Source organism: Homo sapiens, chromosome 5, assembly GCF_000001405.40.
Source record: "Homo sapiens chromosome 5, GRCh38.p14 Primary Assembly".
NCBI classification, from domain to species: domain Eukaryota; kingdom Metazoa; phylum Chordata; class Mammalia; order Primates; family Hominidae; genus Homo; species Homo sapiens.
In genome coordinates this window covers 79932939-79960503 of record NC_000005.10, presented here as the reverse complement: position 1 = coordinate 79960503, position 27565 = coordinate 79932939, and the positions used below count along the sequence as shown (strand labels likewise).

Genomic DNA, 27565 nt, shown 5'->3' with positions numbered 1-27565 from the left:
GAACTAGAACCAGGGCTCTTAACTCCTAGCCAGAACCCTTACCACAACTTAGGCAGATGTCCCAGAGGTGGCAAGAGCACACATTTTCACAAAGTGCTCTAAGCTCATTAATGAAAAGTTGCCATTTAAACATCAATCAATATTTGCATCTGGGGATTAGGAATGAGGATAACAATGCACGTTGAGGCCAAAGGGACCAGGAGGCCAAAGGAATCTAGGCTGCCTCCAACTTCTGATCAGACTGAGCTCACAATTCATCTCCAAGTCATTTTCTTGGAAATTACATTACACTTCCATGCAGAAATGATGGTATAAATGGTGGTTCAAATTCCAAGGTCAGTTTAGAGAAGCTTATTTAACATACAACTTTGCCTGAAGTACCTGACTATTTCTGATATCCCAATTGCAACAAACCACCATTTGTAACTCTTTCATTCAAAAAAAGACAAATTCCAGGCCCCGAAGGCACTCAGATGGCAGCAACAAAGCTTATTCCTCAAGTGGTCACAGTTTCCCTTGCAGTTTTCTGGATTCCAGGGTCTTGGAATCAGGGGAATGAGTGGGAACTCTGGGACCTTGCTAATGATCTACTCTGCTGCCTCTAAACCCAGCCCTTGGATTGCACTTGTCACTGGAAATGGTCTCACTGGTCTAAAGTGAAATACAACATGTAAGTCTAGTTCAGAAAGTTTTTCATAAAGCAAAGTGTATTCCATTTAAAGAACCACCCTTGATTCTGGAGATACTTTTCTCACTTTCTGGTGTTGATAAAATAAAAACTTCAGCTGAATTAAATGTAAAGAAGTTTAATTGAGCAATGAATGATTCATGAATCGGGCAGCCCCCAAAATCACGGCGGATTCACAGAGACTCCAGCACAGCTGCGTGTTGGAAGATTTATAGACAAAAAAGGGGAAATGACGTCCAGAAATCGGAAGTGAGGTACAGAATGACTGCATTGGTTACAGCTCAGCGTTTGCCTTATTTGAATACAGTTTGAACACTCAGCAGTGTATAAATGGTTGAAGTATGGCTGCTGGGATTGGCCAACGCTTAGCTATGGTTACAGGCCCATACTCTTGAGTTAGGTTTTCAATCTTGTCTACCTACTAAGCTAGGTTGCAGTTCGTCCACGAGGATTCAAATATAGAAGTATGGAGTCCTTCTCAGGCCATATTTAGTTCACTTTAACAGTGCTGAATTGTCTTTTTGGAAAAGATTGTAGTAAATGCTATTTGTTTTCTTGGTATTCTTTCTTGGAAAAAATAACATAGTGGCAAACCTATATGGCTGGTCCACAGAACTGCATTCCAAAATTTTGAGAATGCCAGTTCTGAGAACCACTGCTCAACACCTGCCCATTTCTCTGATGAGTGGGGGAAAGGAATTTGCTGTAGTGTTCATTCCTTGGGGCTTTGTAAGGGGTGAAAGGGAACTGAGGAAGCGGATGGGAATTGGATGTCCCTAGTTGTTTTAGTTCAGGCTGCTGTAACAGAATACCACAGACTGGGTGGCTTAAACAACAGAAATTTATTTCTCACAGTGTTGGAGGCTGGGAAGTCCAAGAGCAACGTGTTGGCAGATCTGGTGTCTGGTGAGGACCCACTTCTTGGTTGACAGAGGCTGTCTTTGTATCCTCACATGGTGAAGAGCAGAGGGATCTCTCAGGGATCCCTTTTGTGAGAGCACTAATCCCATTCATGAGGACTCCACCCTCACGACCTAATTAACTCCCAAAGGTTCAACTTGCTAATACCATTGCACTGGGGGTTAGGATTTCAACATAGGAATTTGGGGGGGACACAAACATTCATTCTGTGACACTCGTCTTTTTAGCATTGGTGTATGGAAGCATATGGCTCACTTATGAATTAAATGTCCCAAAAGAGGAAGTGATTGGAATTGTTAACTTTCTCTAATGATTTAGAAGACAAATTCTGGGTGAGCCGAGAATACCCCTCTTAGAGTTTATTAATTGGTTCTAATAAGATATATAGGCTATTTCAGGTAGAGACTAATAATTCTGTTGGGAACTACTATCTCCTGAGGTATGGGTAGAGGTTGTGGGGGTCAACCAAGCAAATCAAAACTAACAACCAATTTACAAGGAAATGTTCAATCTACTTAACAATATGATCTTTAAAATAATGCTTAACTATAAATTTGCATTAAAAAATGCAAATGTTTTTGAGACAGATTTGGGTAGATTTTATTTAGCACTCTTGTTTGTGTTATTCTGGTCTTGAGAGTAAAAAATAAAAGAAATAAAACGAGCCCATGTTCGCCTTCTGTTAGTCACCACCTCCTTTGTGTGCTCCTGGAAATCTCTTGTAAACACCTTCAGTCCCGGTTCTCTCATGGGTGCTGCCTTCAGCCAGGCCCTCCTCTCTCCCGGTCAAAGCATGGTTTTCAGACTTCTTTTTAAAAAATTACAGAATACTTTCTTCAAAGAAAATCTATAAGAAACTCCAGATTATAAATAAAAGAGAGCTGCTTTAGTTGGAGTAGGGCTGGGGGCTGGATCCCTGCTGGCTCACCCCCTGCCTCCCTCATTCATTCATTCATTCATTCATTCATTCATTCGATACATATTAACTGAAGCCCTAGCCTATCAACTTAGCTTCCTGATTGGGTCTCCTGGCTCCAGTTACATGTCTTTATAATCTACTATCCATTATGATAATAGAAATAATTTTTTAAGACTCAGCTCTGATCTGATCACTACCCTTTTCAGGAACATCCAATTGTCTCCTCGTCGTCTTCTGATTGATATTCTCCCTCCTTAGGCCCTTCAAAGTTTGGATCCAGCCTGCATTTCCCACCTCCCCTTCTGGTGCCACAATCTGTCTCCCCGAGACTTTCCCCAACACACCATAGACATTCATGTCCGCTTGCTTTTGATCATGCTGCTGTCTGCCTGGACTGCCCTACTTCCTCCTTTCCACTGTGCTAGTTTATTGTTTTTGTGTGTGTGGCTATTCCTTCCTCAGTGAAGCCTCCCCTGGCTACCAAAGTCCCTCTCCCTCAAACTCTGTATCGATTGTTAGATGCCATGTGTCTGGCTACCCAGCTGTTGCTCAAAGTTGGCCTCATATTTTTACTCATCTTGATATCTCCAGGATCTAATATCATCAATGTGTGGTTGATTAGGAGTAGCAAATTGGTTGTATTTCACAGGCCAATTCCTATGATTAGGTAGTAGTTGCCTGGAATGCTATCTTGAGAAAGACCCTGTCTGACCTAGACTCAGTGGGAAAGTCACTGATTGACTAGCAGTGTTGGCCACAGGAGCGTGAGAGTGAAGACGTGCTTTGCTATGCATCTGTCCTCCTGGCAGCAAATGCACAATAATGTTTTGCTGGTGAATACATGAGTGAATATATTTCTTTAAAATTATGAGATTTAGGCTTTAGTAGTTCAGACAACCTTTTGTTTCAGTTTAGTGAGCTTTTGCTGGTTCAATTTCCATAAGTGACATGAGTATTTCACCTTGAGCTCAAGTAGATGTTCTGGCAAATGTGGGTGCATCTTGAGCTGGGATGCAGCCCTGGGGGGCATCACTTTGTATGAGGTAGTTTGCAGGAGGGCTTCTGATGGTGGCCCCTGGGCAGGTTGGAGAGCTGATGTGGGATGCGGGAGAGAGAGAATGGAAAAGGGGCTGTACAGTGGTGACCCTATGGTGTCAGCCATATCTTACGTGCCGAAGGAGATGTTTTTATGAAAGGGTCAGTGAGACGTGAGCGTGCAAGTGGCGTTACTTTAGTACAAGAAGTAGAGTGAGACACAGAGTCAGGGAATGGGCTAATCACTGCTCAGTACTGTGAAGGGCCCAGGCTGGGTGTGTCTGGGCATGTGTATCCCCTGAAGAGTCAGCAGGGAACCACTATGCCCATGGGGCCTGGCGGGATGTGTATGACTGTGCACCCCTGGCAGAGTGGGGCCATGGCTGAGATGCTACCCAGTGAGAGACGGTGGGTGCCTGGCAGGCATGGTAGTCATGCCAGGAGTAGAAAAGGACTTGTTTGGGAGCATGAGTGAGTCACCTCTGGGGAATGTCAGTACCGGTTGTGGGACACTAATTTGGGGCAAGTCAGGAATGGATAAAAGCCTGTGTAATCCAAGTTAGTACTAGTGCTTTGACACCTTTTATTCCTACATTCTGATGAGATCTTAGGCATGACTTGGGTCAAATGGTTTAAGGAAAACAGTTCCCGAGGAAGACATTTATTTAGAAGAAGTTGTCAGGGCTACAGCATGCATATCCTTCTATTGCCTTTTGCAGTGAATTGAAATGATGTCATACAGTAAATGTTGTGTATCAGGGAATTTTGACTAGAGTAACTAATTAGGGAATCAGATTTAAGTAACACAGAGAACTGAAGCCCTGGCTGGTTCATCTCCCTGAGGCCTTTGCTGTGGAGTCAGCAGATGGATGTTTTTCAGGCAGTTTGTTCCCGTGCTCAGTTTGCAGTATGGGGAGGGGGTGAGGATTAGAGGATCGTCTCACAGTGGTGATTTCTGGAATGGCATATGGTTTGGGGTTCCCTGGGGGAAAAGAGTGGCCTATGTGCAAATCTTAAGTCAGATGTGGCCCCCGGCATCTGCCATGTCACCCAGCTAAGAATTGTTTGACATTTGCAGTAATGAAACCTTCATCCTGGATAGAGCAGGACTAGTTTTGTCCAACTGGCGAGATAACCTTGTATTTAAAATTGTAAAGCCCCGATTCTTGGGGTCCTCCCTGACTTTAGGACCCACATAATCAGGGCCCTCCTAGCCACCCAGTGGGGCAGTGCACAGGCTTCCTCCATTAGTTTGTCATGGGCAGAAATTCAGCTCCTCTCAGGTTGTTAAATGCAGATCACGAACCATCTGTTCCTTGTGTTTTCCCAGGTTGCAAACTTAATCCAGGGAAGACGGAATGTTTTGCAAACTCTGCAGCTATTAGTTTCCCTTCTGATCACACTTCAAGGTTGTGGGATGGTTTTCAAATGGTAAACTCTCCTTAAGCTGGAGTCATTGAAAATGTATGCTATCAGCAGTGTTCAGAGGAAACGTATTTCAACTGACCAAGCAAAAAGGCCTCTGGAAATCTCTTTGCCTCTGCTCTGTGATCCCATTGTCCTATTCTCCCTTCACAAAGAAAGAATTTAACCTTCAAGAAGGATAGTCTGGAAATGATCTCTGTCTCTTATCAACGACTTCACCAGATGCTGTCCTTGCCCCCTCCACTTGTTCAACGGCAGGGGATGCATTTTTTACGTGCATCTCAGGGTGCCAAGGAGGGTCCAGGACACTTTTGGTGTAAATAGAGAAGAGGCAGGGCCTGTCCCCCTCATTCCAGGCGGGGAGAGCTGCTTCAGGATGCTCTGATCGTTGGTCTCCTTTACACAGATGCCTCTTGACACTCTAGGAGAGGTACCTGAAGGCTCTCTGGGGCTGTGTTAGGAAGGAAATTGATCACGAACTCCCTGATGACTAGGGAGGCTGAACTGTTTGTATATGTACTGGCCATTTGGGCATTACCTTCTTCATGTTGCTTGTTAAGATCTTGCCTATTTTTCTATTGTTTGTTTTTCAGATAGCTCATCTTGAACAGGGCTGGACAACCATAGCCTGCTGGTTGGCTGCCTATTTGGGTAAATAATACTTTATTGGAACATGCCCATTAGCTTACGTATTGTCTGTGGCTTCTTTCTCTGGTGCTAGGGCAGGGTCAAGTATTGCGACAGAGGCTGTATGGTCTAAAATATTTACCATCTGGCCCTTTACAGAAAAAGTTTGCTGTCCCCTGCCTCAATGGTCCAACTCTTTCTAGTGATAAAACGACATAACTTACATCCACAAGAAGATAGCACTTCATACACCCAGCAGATTGTCATAGAGCATAAAGTGAGAAGAGAGAAACACCCAGACATACCAACAGAGAGACACACACAAGTACATTCCCTGCAGGATTGTTTGTCAGAATTTAAAAAGTGGGCAATTTTCACTAGGAAAATATGCTACAAATTTTTCTATATACATACACTGGAATACTTTTTTAAGATTTAACATGGTTATAAGCTTTCAAAACAAAGTTGAGCAAAAAAAAAAAAAGCAAGCTGCAGAGTGATACATACAATAATAGCACACTGTTTATATAAAATTTGAAAATATGCAAACTTAATCCACTATATTGAGATTAAGGATACACAATGAGCTAGACCACACTACAAAGACTGGTCCAGGCTGGCTCTGGAGGGCTGGCTGGGATGACTCCCACATTGGTTTACTGCTGGACCCGTGTGGAGGTGAGAGTGGGGAGTCATCTTGCTCGGACCTCCCTTGCTCCTCAGGGACGCATGCCCGAAGCTCTGTGGTCTCAACAGCCCTCATGGAGTGAAGAAATCCCTGACAGTAGGATCTCTTACCTGTGGGCCCACTGGCTTTCATACACTGACTGGGGGCCAATGTATTGTCATACAGGGATTTCTTGCTACACCACAGTTGTAAACACCCACATTTTATTTATTTGCCGAAGCACTGTAACTGCCCAATGGGTTCACCTTGCCCGCTGCCTACATAGAGCTGATTTATCAAGACAGGTGAATTGCAATGGAGAAAGAGTAATTCACACAGAGCCGGCTGTGTAGGAGACCGGAATTTTATTATTACTCAAATCAGTCTTCCCAAGCATTCAGGGATCAGAGTTTTTAAAGATAATTTGGTGGATAGGGGCTTAGGAAGAGCTGATTGTTCAGGTTAGGGGGTCGAAGTTAGGTTTTCTTAATGTCTTCTGTTCCTAGGTGCTATGGCAGCACTGATTGGGCCAGATTACCGATCTGGTTGGTGTCAGCTGATCCATCGAGTACCGGGTCTGCAAAATTTCTCAAGCACTGATCTTAGGCTTTACAATAGTGATGTTATCCCCAGGAGCAATTTGGGGAGGTTCAAACTCTTGGAGCCAGATTGCTGCATGACCCCTAAATTGTAATTTCTAATCTTGTAGCTAATTTGTTAGTCCTGCAAAGGCAGACTGGTCCCCAGGCAAGAAGGGCGTCTTTTCAGGATAGGGCTATTATCAGCTTTGTTTCAGAGCCAAACCATGAACTGAATTTCTCCCCAAAGTTAGTTCGGCCTATGCACAGGAATGAAGAAGGACAGCTTGAAGGTTAGAAGCAAGATGGAGTTGGTTAGGACTGATTTCTTTCACTGCCAATATTTCCTCAGTTATAATTTTGCAGAGGCAGTTTCAGCATCAGTCCTCTTCAAGATTCTGGTTCAATAGGCTTGACCATGTGTAAGATAATATATGTACAATATGTAAATAAATATTGAATTCAGAAGAGTAGTTATCTCTGGGAGGAAGAGAAAAGAAGGAGATCAAGAAGGCATCCCAGAGGGCAATAATTATACCTATAATGTTTTATTTCTTTAAAACATCTGACACAAATGTGACAAAATGTTACGATTTAAGTTGAGAGCAGGCAATGAGTAAGTCTATAGGGCAGAAGGAAGCTGGTGGGTAGAGGAGAATCAGGGTTTGTTGGTGGAAAATGAGAAACATCTATTTGGGGGAGAAGAGAATGGTGGGAGCTAGCACTCAATCTAGGTTGATATGTCTACTGCTCACTATTTGACAAATATTTGTTGAATGGAAAAATTCAACACGGTTTTATGGAGCATTAAATGCCAGACACTACAGGTGGGACACAGGGATGATACAGATCTTTTGTTTGTGTCTTCAAGGTACTTACGACCCCCTGAAAGAGAGTTTATGCCAACAACTGATGACCGTGCAAAGTAGAATGGGAACACTAGCACAAATGCAAGCATTAGCAAAGTACTGTGGGGAGCACCAGGGGAGAGACCACACACATGGGAGGAGGAGGATGGGATCAGAAGATTCTTTAAGCAAGAAGTGTGGACTCAACTCATGAGACAGGAAAGACTCTCTAAAGGAGGAGATAAGGAAAGGGTTCAACCCAGGGAATCCTGAGGGGGTTGAGCTAAGCACAGCCTGGGTGAAAAGGACATGGTATGCTGAGGGAGGACAGAAAGCAGAGCTGGAGGGGTGGAGAGAGACAGAGAGAGAGAGAGAGAGAGAGAGAGAGAGAGAGAGCAGCATCACAGAATGGAAATTAAGGCCAGATGGAAGGGGTTAAGAAGGCTCTGTTTACCTTTCGAGCTTTGACTTCCTTCCACAGACATGGGAAGCCTCTAATTGCTGGAGAGGTTGGGGAGTGCAGTGTGATCAGCCCTGCCAATCACCTGCCAACATGGGAGTGTGGAAGGAATAAGAAAGAATGGGAGGCAGGGAGGCCTGGGAGAAGGCTGTTGAAACATGTCCAGGTGACAAATGGTGCATGCCTCTGCTCAGAGGATGGCTCTGGAAATGGAGAGGTGGGGACACAAATGAGGACCCGTAGAGGTAAGAGGAGTGAGGTGTCACCATCACCCTGAAGGCCTCGCTCCTGGGAGGGGCCAGCCATCATGGCGGCTGGACTTCCACACAGCAATCAATGGCAGAGGTGGAAGCCCAGGTTTGTCTCTGTGTCTCTAGGCAATAAGGCAGCATTTTCCCCTGTGCCATGACCCCTCACATCTTCCCTCAGAGTCTGGTGCAGAGCTATTTTCTCAAGAAGCGCTTAGCAACCCAGGTTCAAAGAGCAGCAGGAAGAAAATGGATTACCTCAGAGACACTGAAGATTCTCCTTAGCTTTCAGCACTTGAGATGAAGAGACAAACTTCCAGAGCTATGAGGCCACCATCACCCAGTGACGGTGGGGCAGAGCTCCTCTGTCTGAACCTTGCCTTGACTGCCAAAGACACACGAGCAGCCTGGTGAAGCAGGAAGACCCCCAGAGAGACAGAGAGACTGGGTGGGTTGAGCTCTTTCTAGCTTTGTTCTCTTCTGCTGTGTGATTCTAGGCAAGACCTAATCTGGCCCTCCAGTTTTCTCATGGAGTGAAAGGGTGGAATCAGAGAAATCCTTTGTTAAAATGCTTTGGTTGGCCAGGCACAGTGGCTCACACCTGTAATCCCAGCACTTTGGGAGGGTGAGGTGGGCGGATCATGAGGTCAGGAGTTCGAGACCAGCCTGACCAACATGGTGAAACCCCAGCTCTACTAAAAACACAAAAATTAGCCAGGTGTGGTGACATATGCCTGTAGTCGCAATTACTCAGGAGGCTGAGGCAGGTGAATCGCTTGAATACGGGAGGCAGAGATTGCAGTGAGCCCAGATAGTGCCATTGCACTCCAGCCTGGGTGACAGACTGAGACCCCATCTCAAAAAAAAAAAAAAAAAAAAAAGAGAAGAAAAAATGCATTGGTTGCAAGCAACAAAAATGGACATTTATAAACTTAAGCCAAAAAAAAAAAAAAAAACAAAACAAAACCAAAAACAAGAGATCAATGATAGATTCCTATAATATTTAGTACTTCACAGAATTGAAGGGAAGACTGGAAAACTGGGTTTGAAAAAGGACCAGAACCAGGACAGCATCAGGGTCCAGTTGACAGGATTTATCATCAGTGGTCTGTTGGGGGACAGTGGTGGGCCCCTCTGGAAGGAATGAGCTCCCATTGCCTCCCCACTCCTCATTTTCCTCATTAACATTCCCAATCTAACTGGTCTAGCCCGCATCACATGCCACCCCTTGGGGAAGGTAGATAAGGGCTCACTGGTTGACATTTTTTTCCCAGCCACGCATAATGGGAAGAAAGGTGGTTCCCTAAGAAAACTGGGTGTTGCAACCCCAGGAAGATAAAACGTATGCTGACTGGCCAAAGTGCTTTTTGAGTTGGAGGTTTCTATGGAGCACTAAAGTCCAGTAACCTCTAGCATGCAGTGGGCCGTGGGCCATGGATGGAACCTCATAATTGTGGACCATAGACCCTTCCCTCTCTCCAGTTGGGTGGAAGGGTGGTGGGTAGTGAGGGGTGAACAGGAGAGGGGCTAGAGGAGGAATGGCCACAGCTTGAGGGATTCTGGGGGGATCTTTCTCGTCTCTACTGAGGGCACCTTCCTTGAATCAAGGGCTGCAGTCTCCGCGGAGGCATTGTGAAATTGCTCGCTGGATCTTTTTTCTTCCAAGGTCAGAGAATTAGAGGTCATTCCAAAAACTTTCCATGGAGTCCCTGCATCTGACAGCCTATACGAAGCTTGATGGGGAAAGGGGCCAAGGAGCTAATATTTTCAGAGGACTCTGGGGGAGGATCCCCCAGAAAAAGTCTTCAAATTCTTGGGAAAAAAAAGTTTTAACAAAATAACTAAAATTGGAGCCTATGACACATTGACAATTGGGAGCTGAGTTCTTTTGAGGACAAGCATGAAATCAAGAATTATTCACAGTTCTGAAGGGAAGAGTCTTTGTGGGCTTCCAAAGAAGCTTCAAGCCCAGGACTGAAATGAGGGCTCTGGTGCCAGGCACAGCTGAGGACATGCAGAGGGTCATTTTAATCACCACATGCCATTGATCCAGGCCTACAATTCCAAGGTTAGGCAGGGCAACATCATAACCTGAGTCCCACCCAACACTGTTTCTGAGGGATTCAAAAGACAGAGACTATTCAGGGCTGCTCAAACCTGGGAACAGACTCAAGCTAAGGCCTAAATTAGGAAATATGGTGGAGGAAACAGGTAGCAGGGTAGTGACTCCCAGTGTAGCTAAGAAGAAGGGGAGCAAGGATAGGACTGAAGAACTTCAATGCACCCACCCTGACCCCTCTACTCACCAGCAGAGGCCAAATGTGAAGCTACCATGGGATGTCACCATAGTGAAAAGGGATCCTGCAGGTTCTCTTCATCAGGTAAGGGGTAGATCTTCTTTACCCTCAATCAATAATTCTTTTTTTTTTTTTTTTTTTTTTTTGAGATGGAGTCTCACTCTGTCACCAGGCTGGAGTGTGGTGGCACGATCTCAGATCACTGCAACCTCCGTCTCCCGGGTTCAAGCAATTCTCCTGCTTCAGCCTCCCGTGTAGCTGGGACTACAGTCCCGCGTCACCACGCCCAGCTAATTTTTGTATTTTTAGTAGAGATGGGGTTTCACCATGTTAGCCAGGATGGTCTGGATCTCTTGACCTCGTGATCCGCCACCTCGGCCTCCCAAAGTGCTGGGATTACAGGCGTGAGCCACCGCACCCGGCCAATAATTCTTATGCACATCTTCACCCAACACATCATTCAACTTGGTGAAGAGACACTACATCTTGACCCAACACCCAAGGATGTCTTTGGACATGTCTAGGATCAGTCAGGATGAGAAGAGAGAACCCAATAGATGGGACTTGAAACTTGGTCCAGAGGAAAGAAGTAGAAAGAAGCCAGGAGGTGGGGTTAATGCTGTGGAAACAGTGAATAAACCCCATAATAAACCAAGTGACAGCTTGGCTGGCTGAGCACAAGAGCCCCATACTGCTAATCATACACCTACATTAACTCTGCTAAGTCCATCTATTTATGCAAACGTCTTTTGTAGACTGGTAGACTTCCTATAAGCCTTTTCCATCTTGCTGTTTTTCTGGTCTTTAGTTACAATGGCCTTATGTCATTTCATCTGTATTAATGTCCATGCCATTCATTTCTATCTGGGCCACTAGATTAGAAGCTCCTTGAGGTAGAGGATGCTGTCTCATTCATCCTGGTGTCCCCAGAATCTGGCATCATCCTGTCCATACTGTCAGACCTCAGTCATTGTGGCTGTGTTTGATGGAAAGCAGCAGGGACATGGGGCTCCTACAAAAGGCACTATCTTCTCCACCCGTGCTGAGTTAGAACCTAGGAAAGTTAGAACCTGGCATGCAGTGACGCTATCTTGGCTCACTGCAGCTTGAACCTCCACCTCCCAGGTTCAATCAATTCTTGTTGTCTCAGCCACCTGAGTAGCTGGGATTACAGGCATGCACTACCATGCCCAGCTAGTTTTTGTATGGTTAGTAGAGATAGGGTTTCACCATATTGGCCAGGCTGGTCTTGATATCCTGGCCTCAAGTGATCCACCTACCTCGGCCTCCCAAAGTGCTGGGATTACAGGCAGGAGCCACTGTGCCCAGCCCAGCTAATTTTTTAAATATTTTGTAGAGATGAGGTCTTGCTATGTTGACCAGGCTGGTGTCAAACTCCTGGCCTCAGTGATCCTCCTGTCTTGGCCTCCCAAGGGGCTGGGATTACAGGGGTGAGTCACTGCACCCAGCACATCTTTGCTAATCTTGAGTGCACATGCAGTGAAGTCCTGAGGAGACTGGGTAGGCCACTGTCCTAGACATGTCCCTTAAGTGTCCTTAAGCCAACTCCAGTGACCAGCACCAATTCTTCCCTTGCTAGGGCATTATGCAAAACCAATTCTTGTTGGAAATAAGTAGGCCTTTGGCTGGGCTTGGAATTATTTATGGTTGCAGACATTCATTGTTGTAAGGTCTCAGTTGTCTTTTGACCACATGATGAAAACTATAGCCAACTCCTTACATGGTCCTCAATTGTGCAGGCTTCAGAAATGGAGCTCTATCTGAGCACCGTGACTCAGGTCCATGACCATCAAATGGTCTTCTGTCCTTCTAAGGAGGAGAGAGAGGTGTCTGCCCTAAACGTAGGCTTGTCAAGCAGCTCCAGAGCCTGCCTCAATTCTGGACATCTCAGCAACTGCCCCCCCTCCCTCCTAAACTACTGCACACGTTTATCTCTTGTTGACAAGCATCTGGCCAGAAAAGGCTCAGTAGTTATCAATGGGAATGAGGAAAAGCACTTTTCCATCCAAGCATTTCAAATTCAGCTGCTTTTGGACTATTGGCAAAGAAGCTTGGGATAACTTTGAGAACAAGTCCAGGAGGTTCAGCCCATCCCCTGAGTCACCATAAAGCTGTCCTCTTCCCCTCCAGGAGACAGTGCTGAAGATTGGCCTTTTGCTGACTGGCAATATGAACTGGACGTTTTAATGGGGGTAAAATGTAGTTTTGAGGAATAAATATTTCTTCCTCTTTATGAAAAAAGAAATGACATTTATTCTTGTCTAGAAGATAGATTTTCACCTTCATCCCTAATCCTGTGAATTCTCAGGCAGCTTCTTCCTGGCTGGAGCCTAATTAGGGATACAGTTGAAGACAGGCTTTGCTTGCACCCTGACTTGGTTGAGCCCTGGGGCTGGTCATTCGGTTCGTAGGGCTGTGCAGAGACAGGCATTAGCTGATGGGCAGTGCTTGAGCAGTCATGGAAAGTGTATACACCTAAATGTCTATGGCGATTCTCTCTAGGAGGTGGCTTGCTGAGGGATATTTAATTCTTTTTTACATTTTTCTGTGTCAACTGAATTTTTGGACAATAAGCATGGATTATTTAACAATCAGAAAAATTATACAGTCATTTTTAGGAAAGCCCAGCGAGGCAGGACCCTTTTGTGTTTTCCAAATACATCCTGTTTAAGGTAGCTCACTCCCCCTCCTGTTCCTTCATTCCCTCAGTGACCCCCCTGGGCCTCAGGTCCCACCCCTCTGCAGAGCACTCCTGATGACCCACGCTGGTATTCTTCCCTCTCATCAAGCTCAGCAACGCCCTCGGACCACAACCAGCCCATATTCTTGTGTCAATCTCTTTATAATTTTTATAACTGATTTTAGTATTCTTGAATAATTTATGTCCAAACACTCCAGTGACAACGTGAATAAATTCTCCTTGGAAAAGTAAAATCACCCCTAGTCTTCTCTCTTCCTTCCCAGAGTTAAATCACTATTACCGGTTGGTGTGTTTCTTTCCAGATATTTTTGTTATGCACTTACTCATATGCACTCATAGATACTATATAGTGTTTACTTTTGCTTTCTTTTCTGTTTTCATTAATAGTGTCATATTTTCAGGCTCTGCAATCTTCCTTCTTTGCTCAATAATGTATCTTGAAGACCTATCCATTCAGTGTCTTTTTCTTTTTAATGTGGCACAGTATTCTAAAGCATATTCAGTAATTCCCTGTTGTTGGATATCTTGATTGTTTCCTGTCTTTTATTGTTACAAGCTGTGAACATCTTGGGCATGCCTCCTTGTGGATAAGGATGAGTATATTTTGGGAATAGTTACTGACAAGTGAAACTGCTGGGTCAGGTGCTATGCAAAATTTTTAATTTTGTTTTAGACACTACCAGATTGGTCTCCAAAGTGGCTATACTAACATACATTTCCACTGGGATTGTGTGAGCATACCCGTTTCCTCACACCCTGGCCATATCAAAATAGTATCAAATGTTTAAATTATTGCCAATCTGATGGGTATACATATTATTGTTTTAATTTTTTCCATGAATATCAGTGAGACTCAGCATGGTTTCTTAAGTTTATTTGTATTTTCTCATATGTAAATTGCCTATTCATATTTTTCTTGATTTTTCTTTTTTTGGAGGGGAGGTTTAGGAGCCATTACCTTATGTTCTAGGTAATAATCCATAGTCATTTATATGCATTGCTAAAATTTTCCCGCAGGCTTTGCCTTGTTTTTTAACTTTGTGAATAATGTATTTTCTGGTACAGAAGTGTGTGTGTGTGTGTGTGTGTGTGTGTGTGTATGTGTGTGTTTTAATGGAGCCAAATTTATTCATCATTTCCTGTATGTATTCATTTCTATTTGCAGATTTGTGTATTTTTGTCTTTTTTTCTCAACTTTCCATGCCTGCTATACCTCACTAATCTTGTTTTTGTCTTTTAAGAGACAGGGTCTTGCTCTGTGGCCCAGGCTGGAGTATAGTGATAACTCACAGCTCTTTGTAACCTTGAACTCCTGGGCTCAAGCAATCCTCATACTTCAGCTTCCAGAGTAGCTAGGACTACAGGCATGTACCACCATGCCTGGCTAATTCTTTATTTTTATTTTATTATATTTTATTTTATTTATTTAGAGACAGAGTCTCACTCTGTCGCCCAGGCTGGAGTACAGTGGCACAATCTTGACTCACTGCAACCTCCACCTCCTGGGTTCAAGTGATTCTCCTGCCTCAGCCTCCCAAGTAACTGGGATTACAGGTGTCTACCACCATACCCAGCTAATTTTTGTATTTTTAGTAGAGATAGGGTTTCACCATATTGGCCAGGCTGGTCTTGAACCCCTGGCCTTAAGTGATCCGCCTACCTCAGCCTCCCAAAGTGCTGGGATTACAGGCATGAGCCACTGTGCCCAGCCCAGCTAATTTTTTAAATATTTTGTAGAGATGAGGTCTTGCTATGTTGACCAGGCTGGTGTCAAACTCCTGGCCTCAGCGATCCTCCTGTCTTGAACTCCCAAAGGGTTGGGATTACAGGGGTGAGTCACCGCACCCAGCACGTCCTTGCTAATCTTGGAGTGCACATGCAGTGAGGTCCTGAGCAGACTGGGTAGCCCACTGTCCTAGACATGTCCCTTAAACGTCTTTAAGCCAACTCCAGTGACCAGCACCAATTCTTCCCTTGCTAGGGCATTATGCAAAACCAATTCTTGTTGGAAATAAGTAGGCCTTTGGCTGGGTTTGGAATTATTTATGGTTGTAGACATTTATTATTGTAAGGTCTTAGTTTTCTCTCTCTCTCTTTTTTTTTTTTTAAGGCAGAGTCTCACTCTGTCACCCAAGCTGGGGTGCAGTGGCTCAATCTCGGCTCACTGCAGCCTCTGCCACCTGAGTTTAACTGATTCTCGTGCCTCAGCCTCCTGAGTAGCTGGAACTGCAGGCACATGCCACCATGCTCGGCTAATTTTTTTGTATTTCTAGTAGAGACGGGGTTTCACCATGTTGCCCAGGCAGGTCTCTAATTCCTGGCCTCAAGCGATTCACCCACCTTGGCCTCCCAGAGTGCTGGGATTACAGGCTTGAGCCACTGTGCCCGGGCAGGTCTTAGTTACCTTTAACTGTCCATTCTAGAAAAAAAACTTTACTATTATTAATCAAGCACATATGGAGTCCAGGGATAGGAGAGAAAAAGAGCTCTTTACTTCCCATTGAGTCAATCAGTCAACAAATATTTGTTAAGTGCCTACCATGTGTCAGATACTTGGCTCTGTGTTAGAATTAAAGCAAAGATCCCTGTCCTTGTGGAACAGACATTCTAGCTACAGATCTCTCTCATTTGTCTCAGTGAATTGGCATCGAATCTCTCCTGGACAGACACCTGGGAACCCCTGGTCGCCCTGTCTTACTTCTATCTGTGGTCTGTGGGCCAAGTTCTCTATTGTCCAAGGTCCTGGTTCTCAGGGATCACATCTTCGGAGATGTTACTGAGATTGTTTATATTTTCCCTCGATGGATCAGAATATTGAGAGCAGCTTTAGCTTCTTCAGGTGCCTCCAAGCAAAACAACTAAAGGCAAACCAACCTTTCCATTAATTACTAGTCTCCCTGTTTCCACTCTCTCCCCCTTCAATTACTCTTAACACGGCAGCAAGCAAGAAAGCCTTTTTTTTTTTTTTTTTTAAAGACATTCTGAGACATGGAGTCTTGCTCTGTCACCCAGGCTGGAGTGCAGTGGCACAATCTTGGCTCACAGCAACCTCCACCTCCTGGGTTCAAGCGATTCTCCTGCCTAAGCTTCCCAAGTAGCTGGGACTACAGGCGTGTACCACCACATCCAGCTAATTTTTGTATTTTTTTAGTAGAGACGGGGTTTCACTATATATTGGCCAGGCTGGTCTTGAACTCCTGACCTCAAGTGATCTGCCCACCTCGGCCTCCCAAAGTGCTGGGATTACAGGCGTGAGCCACCTCGCCCGGCCAAGAGAACCTTTTGAAATGTACATCAGATCCTGTCACTCGGCCCAAAACCCTACCCAGCATAAGCCAGTGCCACCCAGTTTCCTCTCTGAACTCGCCACCTTTTCCTCTCGTCCATGTCCATGCTGTTCTAGCCACCATAGCCAACGAGCTGCTCTGTGAACATTCCAGTCACCATCCTTGGAGTCACGCCTCCAAGCCTGTGCACTTGCTATTCTCTCTGCCTGGAGTTCTTTCCTTAATGATAGCTGCATAATTTATTCCCTCCCTTCGTTTGACTTTGCTCAGCTGTCACCCTCTCAGTGACACAGTCCTAACAACAATTGTGGGTTGAATGTGTCCCCCTCACCCGCCAAAAGATGTGTCAAAGTCCTAATACCCAGTACCTATAAATATGAAAATAGGGTCTTTAGCCAGGAGCAGTGGCTCAGGCCTGTAATCCCAGCAGTTTGGGAGGCCAAGGTGGGCAGATCACCTGAGGTCAAGAGTTCAAGACCAGCCTGGCCCACATGATAAAATACCATCTCTACTAAAAATACCAAAATTAGCCAGAGATGGTGATGCATACCTGTAATCCCACCTACTCGGGAGGCTGAGGCACAAACCCGGGAGGTGTAGGTTGCAGTGAGCCCAGATCGTGCCACTGCTCCAGTCTGGGTGACAGAGCAAGACTCTGTCTCAAAAAAAAAAAAAAAAAAAATAGGGTCTTTGGAGATGTAATTAAGTTGAAGTCATTGGATTAGGGTGAGCCCTAAATCTAATGACTGGTATCCTTCTAAAAAGGGGGAAATTTGGACACAGACACAAAGGGATGAAGGCCATGTGACAGTGGAGGCAGAGACTGGAGTTACTCTGTCAACAAGCCAAGAACATCTAGGGCTACTGCAACCTCCAGAAGCTAGAGGAGGCAGAGAAGGATTCTCCCCTAGAGGTTCTGGAGGGAGCATGGCCCTTGAACACTGTCATTTCTGACTTCTAGCTTCCAGAACTGTGAGAGAATACATTTCCGTGGTTTTAAAGCCACCCTGTTGGTGGTACTTTAAGGCACCCCTAGGAAATGAATATACCATCTATGGAAAACAGGGAACCTCCAACCTCAGTGCTCTCTACCCCTTTCCTGATTTATTTTGTTCCCAACATTTATCATTTAAAACATACCATATAACATACCTTTTAATTTCTCTTTTGCCTATATTCCCCAATAGAATGGAAACTCCGTAAGTTGGGAAGCTGAATCCCAAGTGCCTATAGCAAGGCTAGGCGTATGGCAGGCACTCAACACATATTGGCTGTGGATGAGGTTGCTTCTCTTTTAGCATCACTCTGGTGGATACAATGTTAACAGCATCACTCGCTTTTCTCTGCCTTACCAGAAACCTCTTCTGTTATCTGGGTTTGGTAAAGAAAATGTGCCGGAGAGAAATTGAGTAAATGCTCTGCTTCCTGGGAAGGGTCCTGGCAGGTGGAGAGAAGGCCCATCTTGACACAGTGCTAAATTGTCTCTCTTTATAGCCCATCTGATTCAGAGTATGAATTTTGGATGGATTTGTAGATATCAGAAAAAAGATATCCCAATGTGTGGAAACCTCCAGCCTAGTCGTTTGCACTAAGTCTTTAAACATGTCTTGATACTATTCTGAACTCTGACATGTGAAGATACATTGAAGCCACTATATTTTCAACATGAATTCATTGAGCCCTGAGGTTCTAACGGGGTGGACCAGCACTGCAATGGGCCAGGCATCTTGTCATGGCTCAGCCACCTACCAGGTGAGGGATTGCATTTGATTTTGCCTTTGCCTCTGTGGGGGTTTCCTACTACTTCCCTATTTTCCACAAGCTTTTGGAATGTTCTGAAAAAACAAAAAGGTTTAAAAAAAAAAAACAAGTTTTGGTTTTAAAACAAGTTTTGGTTTTGACTTTAATGTCCTCTAGCAGTATCTATCTATCTAACAACAGATACTTTGAGGTACAGTCATTCAAAGTAGTACTAAGCAGTGGTTATAGATTACTAGACCCTATATATACTGACATGGGAAGAGATAATAAAAAGTTCAAAAAAGTGTGTATTGTGTGACTCCATTTGTAGGGAAAACCAGCATCCCTGTGTGTGTGTGTGTGTGTGTGTGTGTGTGTACTTGCATAAAAACCACATACAAGGATAAATGCCAAACTGTAACAGTGTTGTTGTTGGAGTTTCTCATGGTTAGGGCAGGAGTGAATGATGAGAGATATTTTACTTATTATTGAGTACATTTCAATATTTTTCTATATTATTTGATGCTTACAGTAAAGACATACTATTCCATAGTTAGAAAAAACTAAAGATAATTTAAACATATTTTCTATAGCTTTGGATAAGTCACTTTCGTTTTTGGGAATGGCTGGAATAAATGTACCAAGGATCTAGAAGCAGCAACAGGTCCCTCTGGGTATTCCTGCCTGATCTTAGATCTATTCATTCTTATATTTTCAGTAGTTTCACAGAATCTGAATAAAAGGACTTATATAAAAGATATATTAAATTAACATTTTGTAGTGTTTTGTAGTTCACAAAGAGGTGTTTGTCTTTATTGGTTTATTATTTGATTTCCTTTTGTTAATGCTTTGAAATTATTTAATTTTCACAACAGTCTAGAGAGATAACTTCTAACATCTCCATTTTACGGATGTAAGGGAGAAAAAGTAATACCTTTTCTTCCCCCATTGCAAAGGTCATAGCTAACACTCCCATAATAAAAGTCAGATTAACTAGAGAAAAGCATAACAAACTTATTTAAACAAAGTTTTACATGACACAGAAACTTCAGAAATGAAGACCCAAAGGTCCAGGGAAAACTGTACACTTAGGTTTGGTGGAAAATGGACAGTTGTATAGAGATATGATTGGACTAGAAGAGTATGATCTAATGGTAATAAGCTGGGGGGAACCTAACAAATCCTGTTTGTTCAGAATCTTCTTGGCCTCCCTGTGTAGCAGACAGGCTATCCTCTGAGTATAAGGCAAGACACTTATCATATGAGGGGCTTACCACTCTACTTTCGGGGAAGGTAGGTCAAAGAAGTCCTTTATGGCCTGCTCTCACACAGAACGGTGGGGGACTATCAGAGTGATCTTTCTGCCCCTGCTGTTTTCTAAATTTCCAGGGTGCTGTATTTTGGGGTAGCCTTTTGTGAGCCCCGACACACATAGGAAACAGGCTCTGAGGGGCTAAATCACTTGCTCAGGATTATGGCGTACCTGGGGTCGTCTGTCCTGCTAACAGTGAATCCACCCTCTTTGGAAACTGGTTTGGGTCCATAGCAGCACTGTTTGTCCCATGTTGGGGCATCTTGGTGCAGGAGTGGAAACCTGGCCCAAGTGAAGCCAGTCAGATTTTTTTCCCCAGGAAACTGGATTTGAGACTGATAGTCATGATTCACATGCAGTTGGACCTATAATGCGTATGTCCAGGAGTTGTGAGGCCACAGTCTCCTGCCTGCCTGCCTGCCTGCCACAAGGGCAGGAGCTAGTGAAGAAGACCCAGAGGGAGGTGGTGACAAAAAGCCAAGAGCATGCCCTGCTCTTTCCTGTCATTTCCTGATAAGCTTCCTTCCTGAGGCTCAGCTGTGGTCCTACTCTTTTTTTTTTTAGACAGAGTCTCACTCTGTCGCCCAGGCTGGAGTGCAGTAGTACCATGTTGGCTCCTGGATTCAAGCAATTCTCCTGCCTCAGCCTCCCGAGTAGCTGGGACTACAGGTGCTCACCACCACGCCTGGCTAATTTTTGTATTTTTTAGTAGAGATAAGGTTTCACCATGTTGGCCAGGCTGGTCTTGAACTCCTGACCTCAGGTGATCTGCCCGCCTTGGCCTCCCAAAGTGCTGGGATCACAGGCATGAGGCACCACCCCGGCCTATGGTCCCACTCTTGGATCCCATGAGACACCCCCTTATCTTAACCTTGTTTGAGTTTGGCTACACTTACTAGAAATCAAAGAGACCCAAGACCCTGAGCCAGGAAGTGACAGAACCTGAGACCAAATCCAAATGGCGCATTGCTCCATGAGGCCCCGTGCCCTCCACGCTGTTCTCTCCACCCCTGGAGTAGCTTCTCCGCTCAACAATGCTGTCGCCCAGCCTCTAGGCACTCAAGGATTCTGCTGAGGGTGGTGGAAGGTGGAGAGGCAACCGTGCTGCTACAATAACACAGCTGTGGAAGACTGGCAACAGATGTGCTGCTTGATTCAGCTTTGTGTGTAAACACTTTGCAAATGTTGGTGTGTAGGGATGGGAAGGACACCTTTATTTCACAAAAACAGCAATAGAAGGCTGCATCTCCTCTCCATATCTTGAGGGATTGCAGGGAGGTGTTTGTGGTTGTTATTGGTGAATAATTATCCACAAACACTTCCATCACCTTATGCAAGCTTCATGGTTCTGCCTGTTAGGGGAGCACAGCGGGTGGCAGAGAAGTGAAAAAAAAAAAAGTGTAGTTTTTAAGACTTCTGTGCCTTCCCAAATTCAGATTCACATTTAATAGGAACCTAACAAGTGTAGCATGATTGATAGCTTTAATAGTCCCAATTCTGGCAGCACGTGGTGGCTTACGCCTGTAATTCTAGCACTTTGGGATGCCGAGGTGGGCGGATCACCTAAGGTCAGGAGTTCAAGACCAGCCTGACCAACATGGAGAAACCCCGTCTCTACTAAAAATACAAAATTAGCTGGGCGTGGTGGTGTATGCCTGTAATCCCAGCTACTCGGGAGGCTGAGGCAGGAGAATCGCTTGAACACAGGAGGCAGAAGTTGCGGTGAGCCAAGATTGCACTCCAGCCCGGGCAAGAAAAGTGAAACTCTGTCTCAAAAGAAAGAAAAAAAAAAATGGTCCCGATTCCTTACCCCTCCCTGTGTCTACCTCTTTTGCCTGGTAACTCCATAGCACCCCCTCCCTCTGTTCCTGGACCAAGTTATATGGCTTGCTTTAGTTGGTGGAATGTTAGCAAATGGGAGACTAGCAGAGGCTGGCAAGAGTGTCTGTGCCTTTGCACTCACTCCCTTGCTCCTCAGCAGTCATTACCAGAACATGCCCAAGCTAGCCTCAAGGAGCAAGACCTAGGGGCAGCAGAGCTGAGTCTTCTTAGTCGGAGCTGGGTGAGCAAGCTCAGCAGGGACCAGAAGGACCGCCCATCTGAGCCCAACTTAAATCACCTTGTCTGCAAACTTGTGAGCAAACCTGTGCCCACTGAGGTTTTGTGGTTGGTTGTTATGCAGTTGCTATCGTGGCAGTAGATACTGGATTCATATGGCTAAGAGTATATCTGCATTGGCCACTGTGAGACACACAAACAATAAAAAAGAAACACCTTTTTGTGATACATTGCTTGGGCAATTATCTTTAAGTATTCAAACAGTTTAGGCGGCCCACCAAGGAAATCAAATATAAAAGCAATTCCCCTATCAACCTGGCCTCATCATGATTCTGTAAGAAAGAGAACTTGCTAAATCCTCACTTTTCTCTAATATTGTAATGTATGGCAGAAGCATTCAGCTGCGCTTTGTGGTTGAGGTCCCTTTGCTTCCCTGGAGCTTAATTAGTCTTTTTGTAAACTTCATTTTCAAAGAATGCCAAATGGCTGCCTTCACCAAAGAAAACGATCAAAGGCAGGGTGAGGCATCCTCCAATCAAGCTCAGAGGACATCTGGGTGTTTGTGCCCTCTGGAGGGCCCAGGCCCATTAAGCCCACTGATAAATGGAACTCTAGGCCAGTGGTTTCTCAGACCCAAATTAGTAAAATATAAAAAACAAGTCGAGGCTGCACGCAGTGGCTCACGCCAGTAATCCCAGCACTTTGGTAGGCTGAGGTGGGCGGATCACTTGAGGTCAGGAGTTCAAGACCAGCCTGGCCAACATGACAAAACCCCCTCTCTACAAAAAATACAAAAATTAGCCAGGGGTGGTGGCGCATGCTTGTAATCTCAACTATTCAGGAGGATGAGACCTGAGAATCAGTTGAACCTGGGAGGCAGAGGTTGCAGTGAGCCGAGATCACACCCTACACTCTAGCCTGGGGGATAGAGTGAAACTCTATCTCAAAAACAACAACAACAAAAAACAAGTCAAGAGGGGACCTACATAGGGAGTCAACTTTTAATTTTGCCAAATGACAGATTAACTAAAAACAAAAACCAAAAGCCCCTCTGTCATATCTTTATCATAGCTGAACTTGTTGACCCCAAGTAAGTGATCAAAACATAATCTGGCTTTGGGAGGCTGAGGCGGGAGGATCATGAGGTCAGGAGTTTGAGACCAGCCTGGCCAATATGGTGAAATCCCGTCTCTACTAAAAATACAAAAATTAGCCCGGCATTGTGGCATGCCCCTGTAATCCCATCTACAGGAGGCTGAGGCAGGAGAATCAGTTGAACCTGGGAGGTGGAGGTTGCAGTGAGCCAAGATTGTGCTACTGCACTCCAGCCTGGGCGATGGAACGAGACTCTGTCTCAAAAAAACAAACAAACAAAAAAAAAGAGTTAAGAAAAAGAAAAAAGCATAACCTCAATTGTTTTTTTCCCAAAATGTGTTAGCAATTTCATTCTCTCTCTCTGTCTCTCCCTGTCCATCCATCCATCTACCTATCCTTTCATCCATCTATCCATCTATCTATCTATCCACATATAAATAATTATTCTTGTTTGTCTCACTTCACTTTAGACTTGTAAAAATTTCATCATGAATGAGTCACTACTCCCGCCTTCCCTCTTTGCTGGGTGCATATCCCTGCAGCACTAGTGTTGAAAGGTATATAATTTCATGGGCTCCTGGAAGAACCAGAAGACATAGCACACCCCTGCCTCAATGGAAGTCTGACATCTCCGTGTGGTGGTGGGTGGGGCAGGGAAGGGGGTGGACAAGGGGGAAATGCTAGCACCCTACTCACCATGATGAAGAATCAGCATGGGTTTGAGACGCACCTTATCCCAGGTGCTTGCCTGAAACATTCTCAAACAGCCCACACATTCCTCTTTTTCTCCCACCTACTCTCCAGTTTTCTCTTATCCATCTCCCCACTTCTTCCTGCTCCTACCAGTATAGTGATTCATAGAGCAGTATTTATACTAAATATGTTGTCATTAACAAATCCTCAACCATCTTGGTCTTTGCCTTTAAAATTCAGATATTAAAAATTATATATAGTCTGTTTGGAGAGACGGATAAGCCAAAATTATTTTCTGCAGTTGCAAAGCATGCAACTTCTATTCATCATCTTTATGTTTCTGTTATGTCAGTGGAGTGTGGTCATAATCCCAGACTGGTTACTGAATACACAAAATGATTTAACTTCTGAAGGGATTACCTCAACCCAGAGCTCCGGTTCTTATTAGCAAATGGGAAAAGCTGGAAATGCTAATAAGTGGGATAATTGAAATAGATTGGGACTCTCTCGGGTATTTGCAGGTGTGGAAATATGAACAATGTAATCATTTAATTGTAAGGAAACTGCTAAATAACTTCCACCCCAAATTACTGAGACTACGTAGATAGAGCTGGGGAGAGCTTGAAGGGAGAGCCAGAGAAGGCTGTGGATTTGGTGTGCTGTGGAAACTCAGGCAGGGTTTCACAATCCTCAAGCAGCTGGGGGCTGATGTGAATCAGAAAATGCCTCCACCCTACACCCTAGCACTATTGAGGGCTTGATTTCACACAACTCTTGAAATTGAAATCATGAGGAGAAAGACATCTCTTTTCTTTCTCTTTTTCCTTTTTTTTAAGGTCAGAATTAACATCAAAAGTTCACTTTGTTTAAAAATGGAAACAGTTCCAGTTTTGTTTAGTTTTTTTGTTTTTTTTTTAACAAGCAACCTTGAGTTGAGAGATTGTAATTGGCAGTCTTCCCACTCCTCCTCAAGCCCAGTTTGACCTATTTTAAAACCCTAATTTGCTTCTTTGGAGGCCAGGAGGCATAATATACAGGTGATTTTTTCCTGCTCAGTTTTCCCACCCATCTGCCAAGGTAGTACATGATGGAAGGAAGACAATCGCAAGTCTAGGCTCCCAGGCTGGGCTGGGAGTAGGAGAAACAGAAGAGGCATTAGCTCTGGCTGGCGCTGGTGGGGCAGGGCTGTGCAGCCAGGCCGAGGGAGCAGTAGCGAAGCTAAGCTGTCTGAGGTGAGATCTGGGTTAGGGGCATGGCAGCAATCTATAAAATATGTTAAAAGATTCCTGGAAATGGAATGGGATGGAGAAAATAGTATTTCCCATAGCTCTTTTTCAGGAAGAGAAATGGAACAATCACTTCATCAGCTGCTGGAGGGTAATTAAAGGGGAGATGTTGAGATAGTTAAGGGGCTTTTTCAAGTAAAACTTACACGAAGGGCTTATTGCCCGAGCAGAGGATGCAAGCTGAGGCCAGAGCTGAACTGCTTACACCCATAGATGAGAGGCAGAATGCCACCACCAGGAAGCCTCCATATTCACCAGTCTGCCACACAGAGCTGCTCATTAGTCTTCTTCTCTAAATAGATGTTGAATAAATCTTTCATTGATTTGAAGAGATTCCAAACCACTCAGGACCCACACAGGCCTGAGATGGCCTGGCTTGAAGTTCCGTGGTGGTGGGATGAGCAGAGACCACTGAATCCCCGGAATGGCTGTGAATTCAGAGATGGGATCTAAAGGGAGGGGATTAGTCTGTGACAAGTCAAAATAAGCTACAGAACAAGCTGTTCCAAGGGACAGGCTTAACACATCAAAGTCACATGCCAGTGGCCAGACCTCATGGACCTGAGAGCTGCCCCCTTTCTACAGGGGAGAAGCTTTAATTCATGTATGGGCACCCCAGGAGCTTCTCAGAGATTGTGATATTCTAGTTGGTTCACATAGATTGTGATGTGATGAGCTTAAACCTCTCCATCATTCCTCCAAAGTGCTCTGTCTGGACTCGCAGGGACTGCCCTCAGGTGAATAAGAGGGTTAGTTAAGAGCAGTCCACATTGTATGGAGAGACTTTTCTCCAATGACAGCACCTGGAAAATTTGGGCTGTTGTTCCTGGCTGAATTCACAATTAGGCAAAAGAGCAGACAATGAAGAATTAGTGACAACACCGTGAAGTCAGTGCCATGGTGGGGAAATCTCCGCCACCCTCTCCCTCATCCTCACCAGCATGGAGGGGCAGGGCTTTAAAACTCATTAAATAATCGGATGGAATACATGTTGTAAAAGAGTTAATTTGAATTTGGAAATGGCTCTTATCCACAGTACAAGGAGCAAGATGGCTTGGGTTGGGGCAGGCAGGGCAGGATGGCCGTGTTTGGCAGGAGCACACAGAAGAGAAGGGGGATCTTTGGAGAAAGGATAAGTGTGGTAATCGGTGTGGCAGGCCTTAAATGCCTGGCTAGAAGATCTAGTCTTCACCCTATACATGAATCGTCACTGACCGGTAACCTCCAAGGGCAAAAAGGATGTATAATTTGCATCTTTCAGTATCCAGCATCATGTGGGTGCGGCAAAGCCCATCAACTGCCCTCCGATATCTACTTTCTTTCCTTCTGCTTTAGTAATAAGACCAAGTTTCAGCAAGGCACCCGTAGAGACTCCATTTCCCAGCCTCCATGGCAGCGGGTTGAAGTCATGTGGCTAAGTCTGGCCAGTTGTAAGAGAAAGCAATGTGTACAACTTCCAGATCACATCCTTCAAAGGGAAGCAGCTCATCCTCTTTTCCTCCTTCCTGTAACCAGAACACAGACATGGTGGGGTGGAGCCGGCTCCCACCGTATGGGTGAGCATAACATCCCAGGGAGCAGTAGAGCAACCAGGAAAAGGAAGTCTGTGTCCCTGACTGGCCTCAGGAATAGTGTTCCCCTCCAAACCCTTGACCACCCCTTATCTGCAGACAGGCACGTGGGAAAGAATTGAACTTCTGTCATATTTGGGCTATGGTGTGGGGTGTTTTTGATACAGCAGTTTAATTTGTAACCATTACACTGGGGCTCAATATGGTTACCCAAATGCACTATTAAATCATTTTTGGAAATTCATAAAGGAAAAGTCAATAAATGGCTGTGTAAGTAAATGCAGACCAACCAAATGAGAAAAGCAAAGGTAATTTACTCAGAGCTTGCTATAGCAAGGGAATCAGCAACCATTACTTATGTTTGGGCAAAGACTCAAAGGCGGGAAGAGGAGTAGGAAAGCTTGAGAGTGGAAAAAAGGGAAAGCTTCAGGAATGATTGGAGGCTGTTGGCATGGCAAAACTGCAGGTAGGCCAACTACAAGTGAGGTATCCTATGCGGTTGGTTAGGGGCGCCTATTTGGCTTTCCCCGTTTGGTCCTGAGTTGGAAGCAGGGATAAAAATGAGAAAGCCTGTTGGTTATTCATCAAATCCTAGCCATTTGGGGCTTATTGTTACAGAGGTTATTGTTTAGCTTAGTGGATTACCACTTGAGATAGCAACGTGGCTTCCTATGAGGTTTGACCTACAGCAGGCTGGCTTCCTGGGCTGTTTATTGTAGATAAGGGGTGGATTCCTTGGGGAGGTTGCTGCAGGTTGGGGGTCAGAGTTCAATTTCTATATATGGTTTTGCCATTGTCCATTTGCCTCTGAAGTCTCTCATGGCTAATGAGAACAGTCCTAACACAGTGGCAAAACAGTGATGGTGGGGTAGTGTTTGAAAACAATCTCACCAGCACAGTAGAGTGAAAGTAAATAGAAGATTTCATTTATCCCTGCACTCTTGAGCTGCACTGAGAACCGGCCAAAACACAGTGGTAAGAAGAGAGGTCCCCAGGGCTCTATGACCCAGGCTGACCAGTGGCGGGATTTCTTTGGTGCTCACAGCCAAAGGGCATTTAGGATGTGAGTGGCTCCTGACACTTGCCTG

General features: G+C 44.8%; 2 long non-coding RNA genes across 2 annotated transcripts in view; both read right to left on the bottom strand.

Moving 5' to 3' along the window:
• Nucleotides 1-23925, bottom strand: part of LINC01455 (long intergenic non-protein coding RNA 1455) — a 31048-nt gene extending 7123 nt beyond the window's left edge. The window contains exons 1-2 of the long non-coding RNA NR_131226.1: nucleotides 23624-23925; nucleotides 17875-18093 (exon numbers count right to left, since the gene is read on the bottom strand). This is a non-coding gene — a long non-coding RNA (long intergenic non-protein coding RNA 1455). The remainder of the gene's footprint in view (nucleotides 1-17874; nucleotides 18094-23623) is intronic.
• Nucleotides 1-27565, bottom strand: part of LOC105379048 (uncharacterized) — a 115841-nt gene that overhangs the window by 15198 nt on the left and 73078 nt on the right. The window lies entirely within an intron of this gene.